This window comes from Homo sapiens, chromosome 19 (assembly GCF_000001405.40).
Source record: "Homo sapiens chromosome 19, GRCh38.p14 Primary Assembly".
NCBI lineage: Eukaryota > Metazoa > Chordata > Mammalia > Primates > Hominidae > Homo > Homo sapiens.
The window spans coordinates 4,199,006-4,225,057 of record NC_000019.10 but is presented as its reverse complement, the minus strand read 5'-3'; the positions used below and the strand labels follow the sequence as shown (position 1 = coordinate 4,225,057).

General features: G+C 54.4%; 1 protein-coding gene across 17 annotated transcripts in view, besides 4 other annotated features; it reads right to left on the bottom strand.

The window, feature by feature from the left end:
- Window positions 1-243: 243 nt before the first annotated feature.
- The window catches only part of ANKRD24 (ankyrin repeat domain 24), a 42,126-nt gene continuing 16,317 nt past the window's right edge, over window positions 244-26,052 (bottom strand). For 4 of the 17 annotated variants that reach the window (NM_001393555.1, XM_011527764.4, NM_001393557.1 and 1 more), the window contains 19 exons: window positions 25,053-25,183; window positions 24,887-24,975; window positions 22,968-23,032; window positions 22,132-22,189; window positions 17,746-17,816; window positions 17,451-17,557; window positions 17,090-17,277; window positions 16,257-16,294; window positions 14,920-15,000; window positions 14,686-14,793; window positions 12,545-12,583; window positions 12,360-12,458; window positions 9,008-9,080; window positions 8,656-8,774; window positions 6,895-8,508; window positions 5,300-5,467; window positions 2,263-2,388; window positions 866-931; window positions 244-630 (listed from right to left, as the gene is read on the bottom strand). In NM_001393555.1, the coding sequence (NP_001380484.1) occupies window positions 553-630; window positions 866-931; window positions 2,263-2,388; window positions 5,300-5,467; window positions 6,895-8,508; window positions 8,656-8,774; window positions 9,008-9,080; window positions 12,360-12,458; window positions 12,545-12,583; window positions 14,686-14,793; window positions 14,920-15,000; window positions 16,257-16,294; window positions 17,090-17,277; window positions 17,451-17,557; window positions 17,746-17,816; window positions 22,132-22,189; window positions 22,968-23,032; window positions 24,887-24,975; window positions 25,053-25,183 (3,318 nt within the window). In that variant the 3' untranslated portion in view covers window positions 244-552. Of the gene's footprint in view, window positions 631-865; window positions 932-2,262; window positions 2,389-5,299; window positions 5,468-6,894; window positions 8,509-8,655; window positions 8,775-9,007; window positions 9,081-12,359; window positions 12,459-12,544; window positions 12,584-13,783; window positions 13,994-14,367; window positions 14,563-14,685; window positions 14,794-14,919; window positions 15,001-15,198; window positions 15,350-16,256; window positions 16,295-17,089; window positions 17,278-17,450; window positions 17,558-17,745; window positions 17,817-17,923; window positions 17,951-22,131; window positions 22,190-22,967; window positions 23,033-24,886; window positions 24,976-25,052; window positions 25,184-25,288; window positions 25,376-26,052 lie in introns of those variants that run through there. The other 13 variants (XM_011527761.2, XM_011527756.3, XM_017026438.2 and 10 more) reach the window with 8 other exon arrangements.
- Window positions 8,379-8,878: an enhancer, noted in NCBI's record as "H3K4me1 hESC enhancer chr19:4216177-4216676 (GRCh37/hg19 assembly coordinates)". NCBI's record gives its function as "activates a minimal SCP1, AML or CMV promoter by ChIP-STARR-seq in naive H9 embryonic stem cells {active_cell/tissue: H9 hESC(naive)}" and the evidence as "EXISTENCE:reporter gene assay evidence [ECO:0000049][PMID:30033119]".
- Window positions 19,907-20,120: a silencer, noted in NCBI's record as "fragment chr19:4204935-4205148 (GRCh37/hg19 assembly coordinates)". NCBI's record gives its function as "represses an EF-1alpha promoter that drives an FKBP-Casp9 reporter gene in an ReSE screen in K562 erythroleukemia cells {active_cell/tissue: K562}" and the evidence as "EXISTENCE:reporter gene assay evidence [ECO:0000049][PMID:32094911]".
- Window positions 24,436-25,082: an enhancer, noted in NCBI's record as "H3K27ac-H3K4me1 hESC enhancer chr19:4199973-4200619 (GRCh37/hg19 assembly coordinates)". NCBI's record gives its function as "activates a minimal SCP1, AML or CMV promoter by ChIP-STARR-seq in naive H9 embryonic stem cells {active_cell/tissue: H9 hESC(naive)}" and the evidence as "EXISTENCE:reporter gene assay evidence [ECO:0000049][PMID:30033119]".
- Window positions 25,083-25,729: an enhancer, noted in NCBI's record as "H3K27ac-H3K4me1 hESC enhancer chr19:4199326-4199972 (GRCh37/hg19 assembly coordinates)". NCBI's record gives its function as "activates a minimal SCP1, AML or CMV promoter by ChIP-STARR-seq in naive H9 embryonic stem cells {active_cell/tissue: H9 hESC(naive)}" and the evidence as "EXISTENCE:reporter gene assay evidence [ECO:0000049][PMID:30033119]".

The following is a 26,052-nucleotide window of genomic DNA, read 5'->3' as shown; positions in this document are numbered from 1 at the left end:
GGCGTGAACCCAGGAGGCAGAGCTTGCAGTGAGCCGAGATGGCGCCACTGCACTCCAGCCTGGGCGGCAGAGCGAGACTCTATCTCAAAAAAAAAAAAAAAAAAGAAAGAAAAAAGATGGGGTTTATCCTGATGGCTGATTTGTGGCGTGGGGTAGGTGGGGAGGGGTGTGAGCGCTTCCTTTTCTGGGCCACCCTCTCCGCTCCCCGCAGTGGAAGCCCAGCAACGAGACGGCACGCGTTGGCCCTGTGCACAGAATGCCTTTATTCCTGGGCTGGCGTCTGGATGTGGAGGACACAGGGAATCACAGTCTCCGGTGGTGGGGGAGGGGCAGTCACGGCCCGGGTCCAGACTGACCAGTGTGTGCGTGCAGAGACCAGGTGGGGTGATGGAGCCAGCTGGGGGTGGTCGGGCAGGGAACCAGGCTGGTCTCCAAGTGCATGGGCCTGGATAGGGCCAAGTGAAGCCAAGTGAAGCCGGTCTGCAAGGGGCCTGCAGGGGGGTGAGGTCCCTGCGTGGGTGTGGTCAGTGTAGCCACTGGGCCTGGCCTTTCTCAGCGGCCCTGAGCCTGGAGTCTCTGCATCTGCAGAATCTGGCTGAGAATCCGCTGCACATCTTCATCCATCTGGCCCTAGGGTTGGGGGAGTAGAGGAAGACCCTGAGTATACCCTCCATGGCTGCCCCAAGTCCCTCCACCACTCCCATAGACCAAGCCAGCCAGGAGGGAAATGCACACAGGGGGGCTCCCACATGCCACGAACCTCTCCCCAGACCAGCCTCCCACTGTACAGAAGGGGAAACTGAGGCTCAGAGAGCAACAGTGGTATGCCCAAAGCCACCGGGTACCCAGGAGCTGGGCCACTCACCTGAATGGCATATAGGAGGTGGCTTCTGTACAAAGCCACCACGCTGGAGTGGTCCCTGGCAGCTTCCTGTGGGCATGAGGAAGGGGCGCTCAGAAGAGCAGGAGCACCTCCCCACTGAGCAAAACACACCAAAAAGCACCCTTTGCACCCCAAGCCTGTACGTTGATGGCCGACTGCTAAAATATGAAAATATGGCGGGGCATAGTGGCATACATTTGTAATCCCAGCACTTTGGGAGGCTGAGGTGGGTGGCTCACTTGAGGTCAGGAGTTCAAGACCAGCCTGGACCAACATGGTAAAATCCCGTCTCTACTAAAAATACAAAAATTGGCCAGGTGCAGTGGCTCACACCTGTAATCCCAGCACTTTGGGAGGCCAAGGCGGGCGGATAACAGGGTCAAGAGATCAAGACCACCCTGGCTAACATGGTGAAACCCCGTCTTTACTAAAAGTAAAAAAAATTAGCCGGGAGTGGTGGCACATGCCTGTAGTCCCAGCTACTCAGGAGGCTAAGGCAGGAGAATCGCTTGAACCCGGGAGGCGGAGGTTGCAGTGAGCTGAGATCGTGCACTGCACTCCAGCCTGAGTGACAAAGTGAGACTCAAAAAAAACAAAAAATTTCCCAGGCAAGGTGGCTCACACCTGTAGTCCCAGCTAGTCAGGAAGCTGAGGCAGGAGAATCACTTGAACCCGGGAGCCGGGAGGCAGAGGTTGCAGTGAGCCAAGATCGTGTCACTGCACTCCAGCCTGGGTGACAGAGTGAGACTGGCTCAAAAAAAAAAAAAAAAAAATATATATATATATATATATATATATATATGTATGGCCAGGCACTTTGGGAGGTTGAGGTGGAGAACTGCTTGAGGCCAGGAGTTTGAGGCTGCTCAGTGAGCTATGATTGCACCACTGCACTCCAGCCTAATAGAGCAAGATCCTATGTCCAAAAAAAAGGCAGAGGGCGGCCAGGAGCAGTGGCTTATGCCTGTAATCCCAGCGTTTTGGGAGGCTTATGCGAGCCCAGGAGTTCAAGACCAGCCTTGCCAACATGGTGAAACTCCATCTCTACTAAAAATACAAAAATTAGCTGGGTGTGGTGGTGCGTGCCTGTAATTCCAGCTACGCAGGACGCTAAGGCATGAAAATTGCTTAAACCCGGAAGGTGGAGGCTGCAGTGAGCTGAGATTGTGCCACTGCACTCCAGCCTGGGCGATGGAGTGAGACCCTGTCTCAAAAAAAATAAAGGAAGTATTTCCTGGCCATGCCGTGCATGTGATGTGGACCCCACCTGCCTACCCCAGCCCCTCTCCTGGGATTCCCACCTGCGCTGTGCTGATTGGTAAATATTTGGACTCCTCCACCCTGATGGTCCCCTGGCCCCTGCGTGGCCCAGTCCTTACCTGCAGCTGCTGCTGTAAATCCTTCACCTGGTCACGGAGAGCCTCCACCTCAGGGGTGGCGAGGGCGGCCGGCTGCTCCTTCAAGGCTTCCTTAAGATTGAAGACTTCTTTGGAGAGTTCTGTGATCTGAGGGTGCAGGTGCTGTCAGCGATCACCCTAAGCCCAGAGCTGGGGGCTGAGGACCTCTCTGCAGCCGCAGGAAGAGGCCAGGGATAAAGGCTTTCAAGGGAAGGTCCCGTCCCTGGGGTTAGCAAACTCTGGCCTGAGGGCCACGTCTGGCCCACAGCCTGTTTTAATTGTATTTATTTATATTTTAGATGCTTATGGTTACCAACACAGCCTGTTTTTATACAACCCACAAGCTAAGGTTGGTTTTCACATTTTTTTGTTTTTGTTTGTTTCTTTTTGAGACAGAGTCTCGCTCTGTTGCCCAGGCTGGAGTGCAGTGGTGTGATCTCAGCTCACTACAACTTCCGCCTCCCAGGTTCAAGCAATTCTCCTGCCTCAGCCTCCTGAGTAGCTGGGACTACAGGTGCCCATCACCACATCTGGCTAATGTTTCTATTTTTAGTAGAGACGGGGTTTCGCCATGTTGGCCAGGCTGGTCTTGAACTCCTGACCTCAGGTGATCCACTTGCCTGGGCCTCCCAAAGTGCTGGGATTACAGGCGTGAGCCACCGCGCCCGGCCAATAGTTCTTAACTTAGTAGTTGCTGTGATCCTGCACAGAGATTAAGTTTAAACTGTGCCTAGTCAACAGTAGGCACTCAATAAATGCCGGGCCTTATTATTACTATAGATCTGGGGTTCTCAACTTGAGGCAATTCTGCCCCCCAAGGGGACACTGGGTGTTGTGTGGGGACATCTGTGGTTGTCACGACTTGGAGGAGCTCTTGGCTTGGAGTGGGTAGAGGTCAAGGACGCTGCTCAGTCCCCTACAATGCCCAGATGGCCCCAGCCCAGGAAATGATCCCGCTCCTATGTCCACAGTGTGCAAGGGAAGAAACCAGGCTACAGATAAACCATCATCCTAACTGCAATTTTGCCCTCCCTTTACAGAGGGGAAACTGAAGCTCAGAGAGGTGAAGTGTCTGGTCTAAGGTCCCACAGTGAGTCGAGGCTGGGTCATTCTTTATGCTGAAGCGCCTGGGACTCTGGGTGTCTCGTCTCCTGTCCAGTGACATGTTGCGTGACTTTGAGCCACTCACTTCATCTCTTAAAGCTTTGGTTTGCTTATCTGGAAAATGGGGACAAAAATACTTTCTGAAACCAGGTGCGGTGGCTCACGCCTGTCATCCTACCACTTTGGGAGGCTGAGGCAGACAGATCGCTTGAGCTCAAGAGTTTGAGACCAACCTGGGCAATATGGTGAAACCCCATCTCTTACCAAACAAACAAACAAACAAACAAACAAAAGCAAAAAAAAACAGGCCAGGCACGGTGGCTCATGACTGTAATCCCAGCACTTTGGGAGGCTGAATCACCTGAGGTCGGGAGTTCGAGACCAGCCTGGCCAACATGGTGAAACCCAGTCTCTACTAAAAATACAAAAATTAGCTGGGTGTGGTGGCACTCGCCTGCAGTCCCAGCTACTCGGGAGGCTAGGCAGGAGAATCTCTTGAACCCGGGAGGTGAGGTTGCAGTGAGCCAAAATCATGCCACTGTACTTCACCCTGAGCGACAGAGTGAAACTTTCTCTCAAAAAAAAAAGAAAGAAACAAAAAAATTAGCCAGGCATGATGGCACACACCTGTAACCTGTAGTCCTGGCTACTCAGGAGGCTGAGGCAGGAAGATCGCTTGAACCCAGGAGGTCGAAGCTGCAATGATCTGAGATTGCACCACTGCACTCCAGCCTGGGTGACAAAGTGAGACTCTGCCAAAAAAAAAAAAAGCTTTCTGGCTTTTAGCGTTGCAGGAAGATTAAAAATGGTAATGTGTGAGGCCGGTCGCGGTGACTCACGCCTGTAATCCCAGCACTCTGGGAGGCCGAGGCAGGCGGATCACGAGGTCAGGAGATTGAGACCATCCCAGCTAACATGGTGAAACCCCATCTCTGCTAAAAATACAAAAAAATTAGCCGGGCGTGGTGGCAGGCGCCTGTAGTCCCAGCTACTCGGGAGGCTGAGGCAGGAGAATGGCGTGAACCCGGGAGGCAGAGTTTACAGTGAGCCAAGATCACGCCACTGCACTCCAGTCTGGGTGACAGAGCAAGACTCTGCCTCAGAAAAAAACAAAACAACAATAAAAAAAGGTAATGTGTGAAAAATTCCCAATCTAACACCTGGAGGCTGTTGTTATCATCATTAGTATTGTTTAGGAACGAAACGTGGGAACGTGGGTACAAACCCAGCTGAAAGACTGCATGGCTGTGTGACCTTAGGCAAGTGACTTCACCTCTCTGTGCTTCTGTTTCCTCAAATGGGGATAATAAAAGCCCCTATCCTGTGAGAACTGGATGTGACTAAATGCATCCAGTCCACAGGGCCTGGCATGCAGTAAGCACTCAATAAATGTAACTGTGGAGACAGACGCAGTGGCTCACGCCTGTAACCCCAGCCCTTTTGGGGGCTGAGGCAGGCGGATCACTTGAGCTCAGGAGTTCGAGACCAGCCTGGCCAACGTGACGAAACCCCATCTCTACTAAAAATATAAAAAATTAGCTGGGTGTGGTGTCGCATGCCTGTAATCCCAGCTGCTCGGGAGGCTGAGGCACGAGAATTGCTTGAACCCAGAGGTTGCAGTGAGCCGAGATCATGCCACTGCACTCCAGCCTGGGCGACAGAGCGAGACTCCGTCTCAAGTAAAAAAATAAAATAAATGTAACTGTGGTTATAATTGGTACCTGGAACAGCAGCCTGTGTGTGTCTGACTTGTCAGAGGCTGTAACCAGGTCCCCTTCCGTTTCTGAGCCTCAGTTTCCCTTCTGGAAAATGGGTTGATTTTCCAAGGCCCTTGCAGTGAGGACCTTCGTAGATTGGCCCCAACCTTTGCTGAGTGGATGCCTCCCTGACTGAGTGTGGGAGAGGGGGCACCCACCTTCTTGTCCTTCTCCTTGGCCTTGTCCAGAGCCTCCTGGGCCCGGCTCTGGGCCTGGCGAGCCCTTTCCGCCTCGGTCCGTAGCCCCCGTAGCTGCTGCTCTGCTGTGGCCAGCTGTGCCTCGGCTGCGTGTCGCTCACTCTTCATGAACAGGGCCTCACGCTGCACCTGTGGCCCAAGCCCACGCATGACTCTCAGGACACTAAGACTCCAATGATGCTAGACCCCAGAATTCATATGATCCTTCTACTTTGTTCTTTTGTTTTTGGATTTTTTTTAAGACAGGGTCTTGCTCTGTTGCTCCGGACCTGCACTCCTGGCTGGAGTGCGGTGGTGCGATCATGGCTCACTGTAGCCTCAATCTTTCAGGCTTAAGTGATCCTCCCACCTCGGCCTTCCAAGTAGCTGGGACCACAGGTGCCACCATGCCTGGCTACTATTTGCTTGTTTTTGTTTTGTTTTTGTTTTTTTTTGAGACAGAGTCTTGCTCTGTCGCCTAGGCTGGAGTGCAGTGGTGTAATCTCAGCTCACTGCAACCTCCACTTCCCGGGTTCAAGCGATTCTCCTGCCTCAGCCTCCCCAGTAGCTGGGATTACAGGCACGTGCCACAATGCCAACCTAATTTTTGTATTTTTAGTAGAGACGGGGTTTCACGATGTTGTCCAGGCTGGTCTCGAACTTGTGACCTCAGGTGATCCACTCACCTTGGCCTCCCAAAGTGCTGGGATTACAGGCGTGAGCCACGGTGCCCGGCCATGAGCTCAGGTGTTTGAGACCAGCGTGGGCAACATGGCAAAACCCTGTCTTTACAAAAAATTAAAAAGTTAGACGAGCATGGTGGTGCACACCTGTGGTACCAGCTACTTGGGAGGCTGAGGTGGGAGGATTACTTGAGCCCAGGAGGTGGAGGTTGCAGTGAGCTATGATTGTGCCACTGCACTCCAGCCTGGGTGACTGGGTGACTTTTCAGACAGAGCCACACCCTGTCTGAAAAAAAAAAAAAAAGAAAGGAAGGGAAGGGGAAGGGGGGAGGGAAGGGGGATGAAGAAAGAAAGGAAAGAGAGAGGAAGGAAGGAGAAATAAAGAGAAAGAAAGAGAGAAAACACAAGTGGAAAATTCCAAGAGGTCAGGATGGCTGCAGGGTCAAATGTCTGTTCAAGGCCAGGTGCGGAGGCTGATGCCCATAATCCCAGCACTTTGAGAGGCTGAGGTGGGTGGATCACCTGAGGTCAGGAGTTCAAGACCAGCCTGGCCAACACGGTGAACTCCCATCTCTACTAAAAATACAAAAGTTAGCTGGGCGTGGGGGCAGGTGCCTGTAATTCCAGCTACTCCGGAGGCTGAGGCAGGAGAATCACTTGAACCGGGAAAGAGGAGGTTGCAGTGAGCTGAGATCACACCACTACACTCCAGCCTGGGCGACACGAGTGAAACTCCATCTCAAAAATAAATAAATAAATAAATAAATAAATAAAATAAAGTAGGTCTGTTCAAGTAAAACTGATGGGTTCAAAACACCTCAAGGCTGCGGGGCTAAAACAGGCCGCCACGTGGCCAATGGGGGTGGGGCCCGGGTGGTGACCAGCCCTGCTCACCTGGAAGACCTCTGCGCTGGTCTTCTCATGCCGCCGTCCCAGCTCCTCCAGCTGCCCCTCCAGCTGGGCCACGTTGGCCTGCAGGGTGCCCACGATGCGTTCGTGCTCCGAGAGCGCCACGCTGCACACACGCTCCCGCTCCAGCTCCGCGCGCAGCCGGGCGGCCTCCTTGCCCGTGGCCACCACCTCCTGCTCCAGACTGGCTGCCCGGCCCCGCAGCTCCAGGGCCTCCTCCTGCAGCCGGCGGTGCTCAGAGGCCGGCACCACGGACTGGCGGAGGGCCTCGGAGGCCTCCCGCAGCTCGGCCAGGCCCTGCCGCGCCTCCTCGCAGGCCGCAGGCAGCTCAGCCACTCGGGCCTCAGCGGCGTCCCGTGCCCGGCCCAGTTCCGCGGCCGCCGTGCGCTGCTGCTCCCCCGTGGCCCTGGCCGTGGCCAGCTGCTCCCGCAGAACCTCCAGCTCCCGGCTCTGCTCCAGCCGCGCCTCCTCCCGCTGGGCCAGCTCGGCCCGCAGGCCCCGCGCCTCCTCCTCCGCCAGCAGCCGGCTGGCCCGAGCCTCATCCAGGCAGGCCGAGGCCGCCTCCAGCTCCCGCAGGCGGGAGTCCCGGTCTCGGAGGTCCTCCCGGGCCTGCTCCAGGGCCGCCCGCAGCTGTGTGGTGTCACCGCCACCGCCCCCGCTGGCCCCGCTGCCCTCGGCCTCGCGGACACGCTCTCGCAGCCGGCCTGCCTCGGCCTCCGCGGCCTCGCACTTCCCCAGGGCCGCCTCCAGCTCCGCAGCTGCCTCCCGCTCCCGCTGCCGGAGAGCCTCCTCCAAGCCACGGATCCTGGTCTCCAGCTCTACTTGAAGCTTTTCCGAGGCCTCTGCGGCACCAGGATGTAGGATGGGGCCAGCAGAGATCCCCGGGACCGTGGCCTCTACCCCTGGGTTCTCCACACCTGTGGCACTGACTCCTGTGGATTCCATCCCTGTGGCCCTAGAGCCCGTGGCCTCCATGTTTGTGGTCCCTGTGACTGGGGGCTCTGCTTGCCCAGCACCCACTCCGTAGGCCTGCATTTCTGCTTCCTCTGCTTTTGTTTTTGTGGCCTCCACCCCCATGGCCTCCACTCCCGTGGTCTCTGTGTCTGTGGCCTGAGCTCCTGTGGGCTTAGTTTCCATGTTTGCTTCTTCTTCTGTGGTCTCCATTTCTCTGACCTCAGCCCCTGTGGGTTTTGTTTCTGTGACCTTGGCTCCTGTGGCCTCAGCTCCCGTGGCCTCGGCTCCCGTGGCCTCAGCTTCCATAGTCCTGGCTTCCATGGTTTCATCTCCTGCAGCCTCCTCATCTATGGTCTCGGCTCCGTTAACTTTGGTTTCTGGAGCCACTGAGCCATTTAGCTCCATGTGGGTTGGCCCGTTTTTGGTGGCCGTGGCTCCAGCAACCTCACTCTCCCCACAGGCTGCCCCCTCTTCTCTGGGGACCTCTCGTGTCTCCTGCTGCCTCAGGGCCTGCAGGGCCTCAGCGTGCTGCCTGCGTAGCTGGTCAAACTCGGCCCGGAGAGAGTCATAGAGGGCAAGAGGGATGACCTCTGCCAAAGCTTCCACTTCCATCTGTGTCTCGTCCTTCTCAAAGTTCTCCAGGATCTGGGGAGTGGAGTGGGGGGCAGGAGTCTGGCAGGAGTTGATGTGACCGTGGGGACACAGGGCAGCCTTGCCACCTTCCCTGCCCACCCTGACCTCAGGGAACCAGCCCTAGGTCCTCAGATCTGTCCCCAGCCTCACTTTCCCTACCTGGACCTTCTCCATCAGTTCCTGGTTCTGTCTGGTGAGCACAGCCACCTGTTCCTGCAGCGAGGCCAGGTGTTCCTGGGCCGACGGACTGAGTTGTCTGGACAGCAGCACCTCGGCCCCTGGAGGGGGACGCAGAGTCAGGCCCTGGGGACCTGGGCCACAGGGGGACAGGAGGTGGGGGGCTGGAGTGGTGGATCAGGGTTCCCAGGGCAGGCTCAGCCAAGCAGAATTTAAAAAACGGATGAGTACAAACCTCCCTCCCAGCTTCAAACTCCCCCACACCCAGAGGCTCCGTCTTCCAGGGCCCCAGGGGACAAGGCGGCTGGGAGTGCGTGGGGAGGTGGGGGCTCACCTGGAAGGTCAGGCAGCTCACCCTCCTCATCCTGCAGGGTGGTTACGTCATAGCTAGTATTCTCCCGCTCGTTCTGGGGGGAGGGAGCAGAGTCCAGCTCGGGGTTCTGCTCTCAGCCCCCGTGTGTCCCCACCAAGACTCCAGTGGGGACTGGGCTGTTCACATACCTGTATGTCTCCCACGAGCACCAGATGGCTGCATTTGGCCCACAAGGATTTAGTGAGCACCTTCCATGTCCTTTGCCACCCACTCCCCGTGCCACTTTTTTTTTTTTTGGAGCCAGGGTCTTACTCTGTCACCCAGGCTGGAGTGCAGTGGTGCGATCATAGTTCACTGCAGCCTCCAACCTCTGGGCTCAAACAATCCTCCCACCTCAGCCTTCCAAGCAGCTGGGACTACAGGTGTGCAACACCATACTTGGCTAATTTTTAATTTTTTTTTTTTTTTTCAGAGATGCGGTCTCGTCACGTCGCCCAGGCTAGTCTCGAACTCCTGGGTTCAAGCGATCCTCCTGCCTCAGTCTCCCAAAGTGTTGGGATGACAGGCATGAGCCACTGTGCCTGGCCCTATTTTTTTTTTTTTTTTGCCCCCAGGCTGGAGTGCCATGGCACGATCTCGGCTCACTGTAACCTTCGCCTCCCAGATTCAAGTGATTCTCCCGCCTCAACCTCCAGAGTAGCTGGGATTACAGGCATGTACCACCACGCCTGGCTAATTTTTGTATTTTTAGTGACACGTGGTTTCACCACGTTGGCCAGGCTGGTCTCGGACTCCTGACCTCAGGTGATCCACCCGCCTTGGCCTCCCAAAGTGGTGGGATTACAGGCGTGAGCCACCGAGCCTGCCCCCATTTTTAAAACTAGGTTGTTTTTTGGGTATTGAGTTGCATTAATTCCTTACATATTTTGGTTATTAACTCCTTATCAGATGCATGGTGTATGCCAGCATCCCCCAGCTTCCTGGCCTATGTGCCATGGGCGTTTCCCTCCTGGGTGAGGGGACTCGGGGCAGGCTGTGGTTACCTGTGGGTGTGTTTGTCTGCATGAGAGTGGATGCGACAGTATCCATTTGGCATGCAAAGAGCTGGCTGGAGGTGTGTCTTTGTGACCATACGTGTGGGTATAGTGTTGTGGGTTGGGGGCCCCTCCCTTCCTGTGACTATGTGAGATTACATGCATGACTTTTTGTTGATTTGTTTTGAGAGAGTCTCGCTCTGTCGCCCAGGCTGGAGTGCAGTGGCGTGATCTTGGCTCACTGCAACCTCCGCCTCCTGAGTTCAAGCGATTCTCCTGCCTTAGCCTCCCGAGTAGCTGGGATTACAGGAGCTCGCCAGCACACCCGGCTAATTTTTGTATTTTTAGTAGAGATGGGGTTTCCCCATGTTGGCCAGGCTAGTCTCAAACTCCTGACCTCAGGTGATCCACTCGCCTCAGGCTCCCAAAGTGCTGAGATTACAGGCGTGAGCCACCGTTTCCGGCTTCATGCTTGAGTTTTAGTCTGGTGTATGTGTGGTTGTGTTTTGAATGTGCCTGTGGATCTCTGTGTTTGTGTGTATGGTTTTCTATATGTATACATGTTTGCATAATTGTGTGTTTTCAGAAATACTGGTGGGGCTTGGTGGCTTATACCTGTAAGATGGGAGGATTACTTGAGGCCAGGAGTTCGAGACCAGACTGGGGAACATAGTGAGTCCCCATCTCTCCAAAAAGAAAAAAATTAGCCAGGTGTGGTGGCACATGCCTGTGGTCCCAGCTACTCGGGAGGCTGAGGTGAGAGGATTGCTTGAGGCCGGGAAAGTCAAGGCTGCAGTGAGCCATGATCGTGCCACCGCACTCCAGCCTGGACAACAGAACAAGACCCTGTCTCAAAAAAAAAAAAGAAATATTTGTTGCATGTGTATGTATTTGTGGGCATGTTGTCTGTGTGTGACTGCACAAGACGGGTGCACGTGCAATGCATGCGTGTGTGATGATGTGTTCTTGGACGTTGTTTCTTGCGTGTCTGTAAACTGTGTGTTTGTGGGTGTGCCTGCTGTTAACCATGCTCCGCCACGTGCATAGAGAGTGGTTATCCATCCCTGCATGGATGCGTATGCTTAGAGAAAACTCCTTTCTGGGTCTGAGTGTGGTGGCTCATACCTGTAATCCCAGCACTTTGGGAGGCCAAGGCAGGCGGTTCACCTGAGGTCAGGAGTTCAAGACCAGCCTGGCCAACATGGTGAAACCCCATTTCTACTACAAATACAAAAATTAGCCGGGTGTGATGGTGTGCGCCTGTAATCCCAGCTACTCGGGAGGCTGCGGTAGGCAGGAGTATCACTTGAACCAGGGAGGCGGAGGTTGCAGCGAGCTGAGATTGCACCACTGCACTCCAGCCTGGGCAACAAGAGTGAAACTCCATCCTCCCCACTCCCCAAAAAATACAAAAATTAGCTGGACATGGTGACGTGCAGCTGTAGACCCAGCTACTTGGAAGGCTGAGGCAGGAGAATCGCTTGAACCAGGGAGGCAGAGGTTGCCGTGAACCGAGATCACACCATTGCATCCCAGCCTGGGTGACAGAGCGAGACTCTGTCCAAAAAAAAAAAAAAAAAAGAAGGAAGGATAGAAGGAAAGAGAGAAGAAAGGAAGGAAAAGGAAAGGAAAGGAAGAAAGAAGGAAGGGAAGGAAGAAGGAAAGGAAGAAAGAAGGGAAGGAAAACGAAGGAAGGAAGGAAAGGAAGGAAGGGAAGGAGGGAGGGAGGGAAGGAAGGAAAGAAAGGAAGGAAGGAGGGAAGGAAGGAAGGAAAGGAAAGAAGGAAAGGAAGGAAGGAGGGAGGGAAGGAAGGAAGGAGAAGGGGAAGAAAGGAAGGTCCTTTCTGTGTCTGTGCACATTTGTAAATGTGCATGGGTGCATGTGACTGTGGGACTGTTTGTTTGTTTGAGACTGAGTCTCGCTCTGTCACCCAGGCTGGAGTGCAGTGGTGCGACCTCAGCTCACTGCAGACTACGCCTCCCGGGTTCAAGTGATTCTCCTGCCTCAGCCTTAAGAGTAGCTGGGACTACAGGCGCGCACCACCACACTCAGCTAATTTTTGTATTTGTAGTAGAGACGGGGTTTCACCATGTTGGCCAGGACAGTCTCGATCTCCTGACCTCGTGATCCGCCCGCCTCGGCCTCCCAAAGTGCTGGGATGACAGGCGTAAGCCCTCGCACCCAGCCAAGACTGTGGGTTTGTGGGTGCATGTGTCTGGTGCGTGTGTTTGCACGTGTGTGAGGCTGTGCATGCACTGGTGTGACTGTCTTGTCGCTGCTGTAGGAGAGAAGTTCCCCGACCCAGCCCCAGCCCAGCCCTGACTCATCACTGCTCCTACCTCCAGCAGGGACAGCCGGCTCTGCAAACTCTCCACCTCCCGTCCCAGGCTCTCCTTCTCCTCTTGTCTCTCCACCAGCAACTGCTGTAGCTCTTGCACCTGGGAGCAGCAGTGGAGGCTCAGCTGCCTCTGGGAGGAAAGGCTGGGCAGCAGGAGGACCGGCTCCTCCCCACCTTCCCACCTACCTGTCTCTCCAGGATGTGCAGGGAGCTGGCCTCCGGGGACTGACGGGAGAAACAGGGACAGGGGTTTGGATCTGGGCAAGAGGCCTCCCTGCCCCACCTCCTGCTTCATAGCCTCCATTCCATGCACATTCACGCATTCCACGTGCAACTATTCAGCACCTACTGAATTCTGCCCGCTCACTCATTACTATTGAGTGCCTGCTGTGTACCAGGCACCATTCTGCCTGCTCACTCATTACTAAATATTTATTGAGCACCTGCTGTATGTTGAGCCTCATTCATTCCTATTTATTTATTTATTTATCTTTTTTTTTGAGATGGAATCTCACTCTGTCCCCCAGGCTGGAGTGCAGTGGTGTGATCTCGGCTCACTGCAAGCTGCGTCTCTTGGGCTCACGCCATCCTCCTGCCTCAGCCTCCTAAGTAGCTGGGACTACAGGCGCCCGCCAACAGGCCCGGCTAATTTTTTGTATTTTTAGTAGAGACGGGGTTTCACGGTGTTAGCCAGGATGGTCTCGATCTGCTGACCTCGTGATCCGCCTGTCTCAGCCTCCCAAAATGCTGGGATTACAGGCATGAGCCACCGCGCCCGGCCTCATTCCTATTTATTAGGTGCCTACTTTGTGCCAGCTATTGTTCTGACCTGTCACTCAGTATTTATTGAGCACCTACTGTGTGCCAGCATGCACCATTCTGACCAGTCATTCATTTCTAAGTATTTATTAAGTGCCTGCTGTGTGTGCCAGTATGCACCATTCTGGACAATTACTATGTACTTATTAAGCACCTGCTGTATGCCAGGCACCGTTCCATCCACTCATTCACTCAACAAGATTGTTTTTGTTTGTTGTTGTTGTGGTTGTTGTTGTTGAGATGGAGTCTTGCTCTGTCACCCAGGCTGGAGTGCAGTGGTGTGATCTTGGCTCACTGCAACCTCTGCCTCCCGGGTTCAAGCAATTCTCCTGCCTCAGCCTCCCAAGTAGCTGGAATTACAGGCCCCTGCCACCATGCCCAGCTAATTTTTTTTTTGTATTTTTAGTAGAGACAGGGTTTCACTATGTTGGCCAGGCTGGTCTCGAACTCCTGACCTCAAGTGATCTGCCCACCTCAACCTCCCAAAGTGCTGGGATTACAGGTGTGAGCCACCGTGCCCAGCCAGAAAGTTTTTACTGGGTGCCTCTTATGGGGCAGACCTGGTTTTGGCCATTCATTCATACACTCACTTGAATATTCACTCACCCAATCAATATTGACGACGCCCATACTGTGACCCAGGCACCATCAGCCATGCCTGCCCTCGCAGGCTCACAGTCAAATGGGTGGACACACATAAAACAGATGCATGCCCAATAGCAGCAAGTGATGCAAATGGAGATAAAGAGGCCGGGTGCGGTGGCTCACACCTGCAATCCCAGCACTTTAGGAGGCCGCGGCGGGAGGATCACCTGAGGTCAGGAGTTAGAGACCAGCCTGGCCAATGTGCTGAAACCCCGTCTCTACTAAAAATACAAAACTAGCTGGATGTGGTGGTGGGCGCCTGTAATCCCAGCTGCTTGGGAGACTGAGGCAGGAGAATCGCTTGAACCCGGGAGGCGGAGGTGGCAATAAGCCGAGATCGTACCATTGCATTCTAGCCTGGGCAACAAGAGCGAGACTCCGTCTCAAAAACAAAACAAAACCAAAAATAAATAAAAAAAAAATAAAGTGAACTAGCGAGTTGGCCGGGGGGGTGGTGGGGGGTGATGTTACAATTTTGAAGAAAGTGGGCATGGGAAGTGGGCATGGGAAGTGGGCATGGGAAGTGTCTTTGGCGAGGAGCCTACTGCATAAAGTAGGTGAGGTAAAGAGCTGTGGGGCCATCTGGGGCTAGAGCATTCCAGGCAGAGGACACAGGTGGTGCAAAGGCCCTGAGGCAGGACTGCGCTAGAGCATTCCAGGCAGAGGACACTGGTGGTGCAAAGGCCCTGAGGCAGGACTGCGCCTGGCGAGTTGGAGGAACAGCGAGGAGGCCCAGGTGGCTGCAGCAGGGTGGGGAGGGAGAGAGATGGAGGAGGGAAGGTGGGAGAAAAGTAGGGGGATCTTCATGCCTGCATTGACCCCACCCAGGCTGGCCCACGCCCAAATCTCCGAGGCCTCCTAACCTCCTGCTGCCTCCGTTCCTTGTGCTGTTCCAGGCCCCGGATCTTCTGCAGGAGGCGGCCCCTCTCCTGCCGCAGCCTCACGATCTCCTCATAGGCATCTCGATCATCCTGTTCCCCTCCCCACCACGGCCTTTAGATGGGGCCTAAGGTTGCCCCATCCCAGGTCTCAGCCAGAGCCCCTCCCCGTGCCTGGGGGCTCCCCATGCCTCCTCCCGTGCCCAGAGCATCTCTCACCGGCATGGGAATGCTGGCGGGAGGTGGAGGCGCCTTCCGCTTCTTGGGGGCCCCCTGCTTTCCATGGCTGGACATAGAGTTCTGGGAAGGGAGGGGAGAGAGAGTGAAGGGGGCCGATCGGGGGGCCATGCCAGCCTCCCCCACAGTAAACCAACCCAGCCAGCCCCAGCCATGGCCTGACTTCCTGAGAACATGGAACCAGCAGCCCCTGCCTCCTGCCGCTTACTTATCCCAGCAAAGCGCAGACAAGACCAACTCCCTGTAAGTTCCAGATCTTACTCTTTACTCTCTGCTCCTCTCTGTCTCTCAGTTCTTTCCCCAGCTAGACCACATTGCCCACACGTTTTCACTCCTCTGTGGAACAGAGATGCTTTAAAACTGGGAGAGGGGCCAGCGCGGTGGCTCACACCTGTAATCCCAGCACTTTGGGAGGCCAAGGTGGGTGATCACTTGAGGTCAGGAGTTCGAGAGCAGCCTGGACAACACAGAGTGAAACCCCGACCCTACTAAAAATACAAAAAATTAGCTGGGCATGGTGGCGCACGCCTGTAGTCCCAGCTACTAGGGAAACTGAGGCAGGAGAATCACTTGAACCTGGGAGGCAGAGGTTGCAGTGAGCCAAGATCACGCCATTGCACTCCAGCCTGGGTGACAGGGCGAGACTCCATCTCTCAAAAAATAAACAAAACAAACAAACAACAACAACAACAAAAAAAAAAAACTAGGAGAGGGGTCGCGCTCAGTGGCTCATGCCTGTAATCCCAGCACTTTGGGAGGCCGAGGCGGGTGGGTCACTTGAGGCCAGGAGTTTGAGACCAGCCTGGCCAACAGGGTGAAACCCCATCTCTACTAAAAATACAAAAATTAGCCAGTTGTGGTGGGTGCCTGTAATCCCAGCTACTAGGGAGGCTGAGGCAGGAGAATCGCTTGAACCCAGGGGGTGAAGGTTGCAGTGAGCCAAGATCGAGCCACTGTACTCCAGCCTGGGCGACAGAGTGAGACTCCACCTCGGGGAAAAAAAACACAAAAAAACTGAAAGAGGGGAAGAGGCCAGATCTGCTTCCTTCCCCGAAGACACCAACCCTCAACAACCTCAGTCCCCACTGCCCTCCCACCCCAGCCCCATAATTTGGCCCCATCCAGTATTCTCACCCAGTTCTGGGAGTTAGGCTGAGCACACTGCCGCCACTTGGTGGCAGCATACCCTGAAGGTAGCATTCTTTCCAAACAGGTTTTCCCAGGTCTAACTTCCTTCTCTTCTCACAGAGCTTGGGGCAGGGGAGAAGTTAGTGTGGATGCAGGGAGGAGGGGCTCCTTCACTGCTTAGGGGTCCATACCTGAGATGACGCCTCGCCTGAATCATCCTCTGTGAGGGCTGGGGAGAGAGGGAAGCAGGGTCAGGCATTCTGTTCCCAGGCCCAGGAAGGGCATTGGTGGGCCCCAGGGACTTGTAGGGGGCTCCCGATTTCCCCAAGAATCAGGGCGTTTAAGGTAGAAATCTGGCGCTTGGGTAGAGTGCTGAGAGAGGGACTTGGGACTGTTAAAAAGAGAGGATAGGCTGGATGGGGTGACTCATGCCTGTAATCCTAGCATTCTGGGAGGCCAAGGCGGGTGAATCACCTGAGTTCAGGAGTTTGAGACCAGCCTGGCCAACGTGGCGAAACCCCGACTCCACTAAAAATACAAAAATTAGCCAGGCGTGAGGGACTTAGGCGGCAGGCACCTGGAGTTCCAGCTACTCTGGAAGGTGAGGCAGGAGAATTGCTTGAACCACGTCTAGCTAATTTTTGTATTTTTAGTGGAGACAGGGTTTCACCATGTTGGTCAAGCTGGTCTTGAACCCCTGACCTCAAGTGATTCGCCCACCTCGGCCTCCCAAAGTGCTGGGATTACAGGCATGAGCCACCTTGCCCAGCAGGGGGTGCCCTTCTTAGGACAGGCAAAGTTCTTACTGTACAGATGACCCAGGAAAGCAGAAGCAGACCCCCTCCCAGACTACTCTAAATGCCCTGGGGCTCCTTGAAACTGTTCTGAGTAGAATTGGGTAAGCTCTAGGACCTCCTAGAATGCAGCCAATCGGGGGTACCTTGAAACTATTCACGATAAAGAGAAGGGGAGTGACAAGAAGCTGCCAAGAAGCAAATGCATTGGGGAGGTGGGGCTTGCATACCGCTGGGTGGGGAGGGGCGCTGGGCCGCCTCTTGCAGAAGGTGCAGGATGAGTTTGTCCCCCGCCAGGGCGCCATAGTGAGCCGCGTCCTGCCCCAGCGCATCGGTGATGCCCGGCTGGGCTCCGCCCTGCAGCAGGACCTCCACTGTTTCGGGGCTGGCCCCCTCACAGGCCAGCATCAGGGCCGTCCTACCAGGGGAGGGGGCTACTGAGGAGATGAGAACATCCCCCAAGCCCCCATGCCCACCTCAGCACCCAGGCCAGGCTGGGAAGAGGAGGCTGGCTAGATCGTCTTACTTAGGTTAAGTCTTGCCGAAGGTCACACAGCATAGGGTGGACTGGCTGGGAGGGGAGATGCTCACCTGCCTTGCAGGTCCTGATCGTTCGCGGCAGCCCCTTGCTGCAGTAGGAGACGGCACAGGTCTGTGTGACACATCTGAGCTGCTATAATGAGGGGTGTTGCGCCTGACTGGTAGGGAGGAGGAGGGATGCGATGGCATGAGAAACTGACCCCCGGGAGGTGCAGAAGCCTATATAACTGCCCTTGAGTTTCACCTCAAACTTTCTCAGACTTTCAAAGGGTGCCTGAGATACTGCCACTTGGTGGCAGCATACCTCAAGCATAACATCTTCCCTGAAGAGATCCCAGAAGCTTACCCGATCTTGGGGGTTTAGATGTGCCTTAAAGGAGCAGAGCACCTCTGAGCAGGAGAGACAGCCACCAGCCGCTGCAAAAGAGAAAAGGTTGTCCGGTGCGGTAGCTCAACCCTGTAATCCCAGCACCTTGGGAGGCCAAGGCAGGAGGTTCGCTTGAGTTCTGGAGTTTGAGACCAACCTGGGCCAACACAGTGAGACCCTGTCTCTACAAAAAAAAAAAAAAAAAAGCAAACATTATCTGGGTGTGGTGGTGTGTGTCTGTGGCCCCAGCTACTAGGGAGTCCCCAGCTGAAGCGGGAGGACCGCTTGAGCTCAGGAGTTCAAGGCTGCAGTGAACCATGATGGCACCACTGCAAACCAGCCTGGGTGACAGAGTGAGATCTTGTCTCAAAAACCAAGAAAAGAAAGGAAGACAAACAAAAGGGGGAAGAGTAGGGGTAGGGTGAGACTTCGACATTTTCTGGGCACTTTCTGCCTGGGTGTGACCCTGCTCCTTTATTTCATGAGAAATTCCCATGTGCCCTGAGGAATTTGTAACAAAGGCAAGTTTTGCATTTTACAGATGCAGCAACTGAGGCCCAACCAGGCCAGTGGTCACCCACTGGGGTAAGAGGCAGAGTCAGATCTAGGATCTAGGTCTGCCGACTGCCAGTCCCAAGCACTGTGGTTCCCTATACTTTTTGTAGAGACGGGGTCTCGCTGTGTTGCCCAGACTGGTCCCGAACTCCTGGGCTCAAGTGATCCTCCTGCCTCGGCCTCCCAAGGGGCTGGGATTACAGGAATGAGACCCACACTACAAGGCATGTGCAACCGTGCCTGGCTAATTTTTATTTTATTTTATATTATATTATTTTATTTTTTTAGAGACAGGGTCTTGCTACGTTGCCCAGGCTTTTCTTGAACTCCTGGGCTCAAGCAATCTGCCGCCGGGACTGTAGGCGTGCACCACCACTCCTGGCTAATTCTTTTTTTTAATTTTTTATGGAAATGGAATGTCACTATATTGCCCAGGCTGGTCTCAAACTCCTAGGTTCAAGCAATCCTCCTGCCTCTGGCTCCCAAAGTGCTGGGATTATAGGCTGCAGCCACCATGCCCGGCCCCGTTTATGTGTTTATGTATTTATTTAATTTTATTTATTTATTTATTTATTTATTTATTTATTTATTTTTGAGACGGAGTCTTGCTCTGGTCACCCAGGCTGGAGTGCAGTGGCCCGATCTCGGCTCACTGCAACCTCCACCTCCCGGGTTCATGCCATTCTCCTGCCTCAGCCTCCCGAGTAGCTGGGACTACAGGCGCCCGCCACCACACCCGGCTAATTTTTTGTATTTTTAGTAGAGACGGGGTTTCACCGTGTTAGCCAGGATGGTCTCGATTGCCTGAGCTCGTGATCCACCCGCCTCGGCCTCCCAAAGTGCTGGGATTACAGGCGTGAGCCACCGCACCCGACCTATTTTTATTTTTTGAGATGGAGTCTCCCTCTGCACCCACGCTGGAGTGCAGGGGTGTGATCTTGGCTCACTGCAACCTCCGCCTCCCCGGTTCCAGCGATTCTCCTGCCTCAGCCTCCCGAGTAGCTGGGATTATAGGCATGAGCCATCACGCCTGGCTAATTTTTATATTTTTAGTAGAGATGGGGTTTTGCCATGTTGCCCAGGCTGGTCTCAAACTCCTGGGCTCAAGCAATCCTCCCACCTCTGACTCCCATAGTGCTAGGATTACAGGCGTGCACCACTGTGCCTGGCCTGTCTATTTATATTTTAAGAGATCCCTCCTACTGCCATTTGCCCAGGACCAGAGTGGAAACAGGGAGGCTCCCCAGGAGGCTGTGCAGCTGACACAAGGGCATGGTCTCTGGAATCCCTGGGTATGAATTCCAGCAGGTTGACATCCAGTCTGATTAAGCACAAAAATCCATTTTTCAGTCAACAAACTCTGTTTGAATACCTGCTGTATGTCTGAGGCAGTATGAGGTTTTGATTGCTGCAAACCTTATCTACAACACGTAGAACGGTGCCTGACACACAGTAGGTACTCAATAACTGTTTGTTGTTGTTGTTGGTTGGTTGGTTTTTTTGAGATGGGGTCTCGCTCTGTTGCCCGGGCTGTGCAGGGGCATGATCTCGGCTCTATGCAACCTCCACTCCCCGGGTTTAAGCAATTCTCCTGCCTCAGCCTCCCGAGTAGCTGGGATTACAGGCACATGCCTCCATGCCTGGCTAATTTTTTGCATTGTTTAGTAGAGACAGGGTTTCACCGTGTTGGCCAGGATGGTCTTGATCTCCTGACCTCATGATCCGCCCGCCTCAGGCTCCCAAAGTGCTGGGATTATAGGCGTGAGCCACTGCACCCGGCCTTAATTTTTTATTATTAGTAGAGACAGGGTTTCACCATGTTGGCCAGGCTATTCTCGAACTCCTGACCTCTGCTAATCTGCCCGCCTGGGCCTCCCAGAGTGCTCAGTTAACTGTTGAGTGACAAAAACCAACGGACTCCTATATTGTGACCAGAAGCATTGCCGCCACTAGGTGGCAGCATACTCCAACTGCAGAGAATTCTCACCCAGTGACTAAAACCCCCAAAGCCCTATTTTATTCTGAGTTTCCGAAAGAACAGATGTTTCTTGAGTCGTCAGCGAAAGCCATGCCTGAATTTCACGGGGACAGCGGACAGGTCGGGGGCTGAGTTCTGGTTCAAGTCGGTGGGTCCCTTTCCCTCCCTCTGGGAAGGAGTTTGGATTAGGTGATTATGAGGGTACCAGCTGCCTGGAGCTATGGTTTTCCTGGTATCTCCTAGGGGCTCCACAAAGGAAATTAAACCCTAGGGACCTCTCCTCATCCTCACAAAGCCCAGGAGTACATTCGACTGCTCCTTGAGGTCAGACGACCTGGATTCCCTACGATTTACCTGCTGCGGACAAGTGACAGCCTCATTAAGCCTCATCAAGCCTCATCTGTGCAATGGGCTAATAGCCTGTGGTTCAAAGGGTAACCGGGATTTATGATGGGCTCCAGTGCCTGGCACACAGTAGGTAATAAAAAAGGAGAAGGGCCGGCACGGTGGCTCACGCCTGTAATCCCAGCACTTTGGGAGGCCGAGCAGGCGGATCACGAGGTCAGGAGATCAAGACCATCCTGGCTAACACAGTGAAACCCCGTCTCTACTAAAAAATACAAAAAAATTAGCCGGGCATGGTGGCAGGCGCCTGTAGTCCCCGCTACTCGGGAGGCTGAGGCAGGAGAATGGCGTGGACCCGGGAGGCGGAGCTTGCAGTGAGCCGAGATCACGCCACTGCACTCCAGCCTGGGTGACAGAGCGAGACTCCACCTCAAAAAAAAAAAAAAAAAAAAAAAAGGGAGAAGGGCCGGCACGGTGGCTCACGCCTGTAATCCCAGCACTTTGGGAGGCCGAGGCGGGCAGATCACCTGAGGTCAGGAGTTCGAGATGAGCCTGGCCAACATGGTGAAACCCCATCTCTACTAAAAATACAAAAAAATTTTAGGTGGGTGTTGTGGCATAGGTCTGTAGTCCCAGCTACTCAGGAGGCTAAGGCAGGAGAATTGCTTGAACCTGGGAGGTGGAGGTTGCAGTGAGCCAAGATTGCGCCATTGCACTCCACCCTGGGCGACAGAGGGAGATTCTATGTCAAGAAAAAAAGGAGGAGGCTAGGTGAGGTGGCTCACGCCTGTAATTCCAGCACTTTGAGTGGCCGAGGTGGGAGGATCATTTGAGCCCAGGAGTTTGAGATCAGCCTGGGCAACATAGCAAGATCCTGTATCTACAAATAAATTTAAAATATTAGCCAGGCATGGTGGTGCACGCCTGTGGTCCCAGCTACTTGGGAGTCTGAGGCAGGAGGATCGTTTGAACCCGGGAGGTCAAGGATGCAGTGAGCCATGATTGCCCCACTGTACTTCAGCCTGGGCAACAGAGCAAGACCCTATCTCATAAAAAGAAAAGGAAGGCCAGGAGCGGTGGCTCACGCCTGTAATCCCAGCACTTTGGGAGGCCAAGGCGGGTGGATCACCTGAGGTCAGGAGTTCGAGACCATCCTGGCCACCATGGTGAAACCCCGTCTTTACTAAAAATACAAAACATCAGCCAGGTGTGGTGGCAGGTGCCTCTAGTCCCAGCTACTCGGGAGGCTGAGGCAGGAAAATTGCTTGAACCTGGGAGATGGATGTTACAGTGAGCTGAGATCTTGCCACTGCACTCCAGCCTGGGCAACAGAGTGAGACTCCGTCTCAAAAAAAAAAAAAGAAAGAAAGAAAGGAGGAGACAGGAAGCTTCACAGCAGGTCAGGTCCCTAGGGCCCTGGGCAGAATAACCCCCAAGTCTAGCACCCTCTGGGCTTCGGGGTCAGGGCAGGGCTGGGCTGCACCCACCTGCATGGTGTAGGGCAGTCCACCCGCTGCTGTCCACGACGTCCACCACGCAGGAAGCCTGGGGATGGGGCGAGTCCTTTGAGGCGGAGCCATCCTTCTTGCTGCCTGATTTCTCTAGGACTGCCTTCCCTACCCTGGGCTCTGCTATACTTCAGCCTCACCCTTCCGTGGCCCCCAAGGGACTCCATTTTCATGAAAATTGGTGAGAAAAGAAAATAGCTGAGAGCTGAGAAGCAGCTGAGAATTTGAGGAGTGGCTGGGAACTCTGGGAGTGTCTGGGGCTAAGGAAGGACCCAGGGCTTGGGGAGAAACAGAGCTCAGGAAATACCTGGCATTGGGAGTATATATATATATTTTAGATGGTGTTTCGCTCTTGTTGCCCAGGCTGGAGTGCAATGGCATGATCTCGGCTCACTGCAACCTCCGCCTCCCAAGTTCAAGGGATTCTCCTGCCTCAGCCTCCCTAGTAGCTGAGATTACAGGCACACACCACCGCTCCCAGCTAATTTTTTGTATTTTTAGTAGAGACGGGGTTTCACTGTGTTGGCCAGGCTGGTCTCGAACTCCTGACCTCAGGCGATTTCACCGACCTCAGCCTCCCAAAGTGCTGGGATTACAGGCGTGAGCCACCGCGCCTGGCTTGGGAGTACATCTTAAATAGGAGAAGCATGTGGATGGTCTGAGAGTACCTGGTTATCCAGGGAGTAGCTAGGGTTCTGGAGTAAAAGGGGCCAAGGAATATCTAGGATTCATAGAGCATCTGGGGGTTCAAGGAATTGCTGGAACTCAGGAGTAGTAGGGGCCAAGGGAGTAGCTGAGATAAGACAGTAAATGACCTGCAGTAGTTGCTTCAAGCACTGTGGGTGCCCGTATTTGGCGGCCAGGTGGAGGGCATTGTAACCTGGGGAAGGAAAGAAGATTTACTGGAGCTCCAGCTATTCAAGTAGCTCCCAGCTGCTCCCCAAGCCATGTCAACTACTTGTGATGAGTTTCTGAGTCTAGCAAAGTCCGTAAACCCTAGTATTTCTCTCCTTTTTTCCCTGCAGAAAGGATCTTGCTCTGTGGCCCAGGCTAGAGTGCAGTGTGATCATAGCTCACTGTAGGCTTGAACACCTAGGCTCAAGCGATCCTCCTGTCTCAGCCTTCCGAGTAGCTGGGACTACAAGCAAGTGCCACCATGTCTGGCTAATTTATTTGTATTTTCTGTAGAGACAGGAGTCTTGCTATGTTGCCCAAGCTCGTCTTGAACTCCTTGGCTCGTGCGATCCTCCCACCTCAGCCTCCCAAAGTGCTGGAATTAACAGACATGAGCCATGGTGCCCGGCCATCAGGTACTTCTCAAAACCATGCTATTCCCTGTACCCAGAGACTCTCTAAGCCATGGCTAGTCTGTATTCCAGACAATCCCATCTCAGCGACTGTCCACACCCACCTATTCCTCAAGCCCTATTGCCTCAGCTACTCCCCATGTCCCCAGATACTCTACAGGGTCCACTACACCAAAGTTTCAGCTCTGCCCTTCACAACCCACAGTTGCTGTATATGTTCTTGCCAATCCATATACCCTTCCTCTTCCAAATGCCAACTCTGTCCCTGTCTGATGCTCCATGAATCCCCAGCTATTCCATATTCCCTGCCCACCATGCCTGTGACCCTAAAGCTTCAGATTTGACTGTGTCCCCATGCCTAGTTGCCTCCTGAGCCCCAACTACTCCTTTTGGCCACACATTTTTATCTCAGTTATTCCCCCCAGGTCTCCAGTTAAGTCATACATACATACAAGTTCTCCTCGTAACCCAGCTACTCCAAGAGCTCAAGCTACTCCCACAGCTCCAGCTACTCCTAGATCCCAGCTATCCCATATACCTCAGATATCCCCAAACTCTACTTGTTATTCTCTTGCCCCAGATACTTTGCAAGCTCAGCTACTCCCATGAATCCAGTTCCTCCTCCAAACTCCAAGCAGTTCCCTTCAGTCACTTCCTTTATCTCGGATACTCCTATATCCCAGATGCACCTCAAAGCTTAGTTCGTCCAATGGTCCCAGTTATCTCCCAAGCCCCAGTTCTTCCTCTGCCTCAGTCACTTTCTAGAAACTTCCCCAGGCTTGGCATGGTGGCTCACACCTATAATCTCAGCACTTTGGGAGTCTGAGGTGGAAGGATCACTTAGAGCCCAGGAGTTCAAGACCGGCCTGGGCAACACAGGGAGACCCCATCCCTACTAAGAATAGAAAAATTAACTGGGCATGGTGGTGTGCGCCTATAGTCCTAGCTACTTGGGAGGCTGAGGTTGGAGGGGATCCCTTGAGCCCAGGAAATGGAGACTGCAGTGAGCTGAGATCATGGCCACTGCACTCAAGCCTGGGTGACAGAGGGAGACCCTGTCCCTCCCCCCAAAAAAGAAAAACAAAACAACAAAACCCCAGAAACTTTGCAGCTATCCCCCAAGCCCCAGCTACTTCCCCATGCCAGCTACTTCCCCATCCAACTGAACCAATACCTGAATCCTAGTCACTCCCCATCCACAAGCTGTCCACTGGCTTTGCTCGGTGCCAGCCACAGTCTCTATCTTTGGCCACCCCATCCTAACATGCCCCTGTGTGTCTCCCTGGGGGCAGGGGAGGAGCACCAGAGGGAGCCTCCCCTTTTTTCAGCGGGGAACATTGAGACCTGGGAGCAGGGTCTGGCTGGACCCTCAGGCTGGGCACCTGGGCTTAGTTCCTCCTCCCTCCCCGGGGCCCAGCTGGCAGTACCTGCCCCGTCCGCGCTCATGACATTGCTGCCATGAGCTATCATCACCTCCAGACAGCTGGCCGCACCCCGCATGGCCGCCAGGTGGAACCTGGAGGTGAGAGACAAGGGTTCAGCCGCAAGGTTGCCACCCCTCAGCCATCTCACTCCCGGGTCGCGGGCACTCACGCGGACTTGCCCTCGGGGTCTAGCTTCGTGGGCACCAGCCCCTTGCGGGCGATGAGGGCGGCCACCCGAGGTGCATCGTTGTTTTCCACGGCTTGTAGCAGCCTCTCGTCACTCTTGCCCCAGTCTTGACTCTGCAGGGCACGCCCAGAAGTGCGTGGGGCAGTGTTGGCTGCTGTCCCCTCCCCACGCCCCCGACAGGGGCTCCGGGCTCTCACCACCTGCCCCTGGGCACTTGCCTGGCGCCTGCCTCTGGCTGCCGGCTTCGGGATGGGGCAGGGGCCGCAGGGCGGGCAGGAGCCAAGGTCAGTGGGGCTGAGCCGCAGCTGCAGGGGGAGGTGGTCCTGGGCGAGGGGGTCCTCAGACAGTGTCCCCCAAGCCTGCGACCCCCAGCATCTGCCCCCAGGCCCATCACCCCAGTTGTCCAACAAAAGCCCACCACCAGCATCATCCCCTGAGCAGCCCCCTGGCATCTATTTCCAAAACGTTGTCCCCTGGGCTGAGCATGGAGGCTCACGCCTGTAGTCCCAGCATCTGGGGAGGCCAAGGTGGGAGGATCGCTTGAGCCTAGGAGTTTGAGACAAACCTGGGCACCATAGTAGGACCCCGTCTCTACAAAAAATAAAAATCATCAGCGGGGCATGGTGGCTCATGCCTGTAGCTGCTTGGGAGGCTGAGGTGGGAGGATCATTTGAGCCCAGGAATTTTGAGACCAGCCTAGGCAACACAGCAAGACCCACTCTGTACAATAAAAAAAGTTGTCCCCCAATTCATCCCTTAGTGAAAGCCACCCCTGCAACATCGCCCCCAGCAAATGGATCCATGAGTCTTTTCCAAACTACCCTCCAAAGTCCCATCTGAACCCCTAAAAGTCCCCTTTAAATGCCTCTCAGGACCATCCTCTGCCCTGTTTATCCACAACTGCCCTGAAATGCCACCACTGTCCCCTAAACATCCCGAGGCTTCTCCCCTCAACACTATAGCCTGAAATGCATTACGAAAT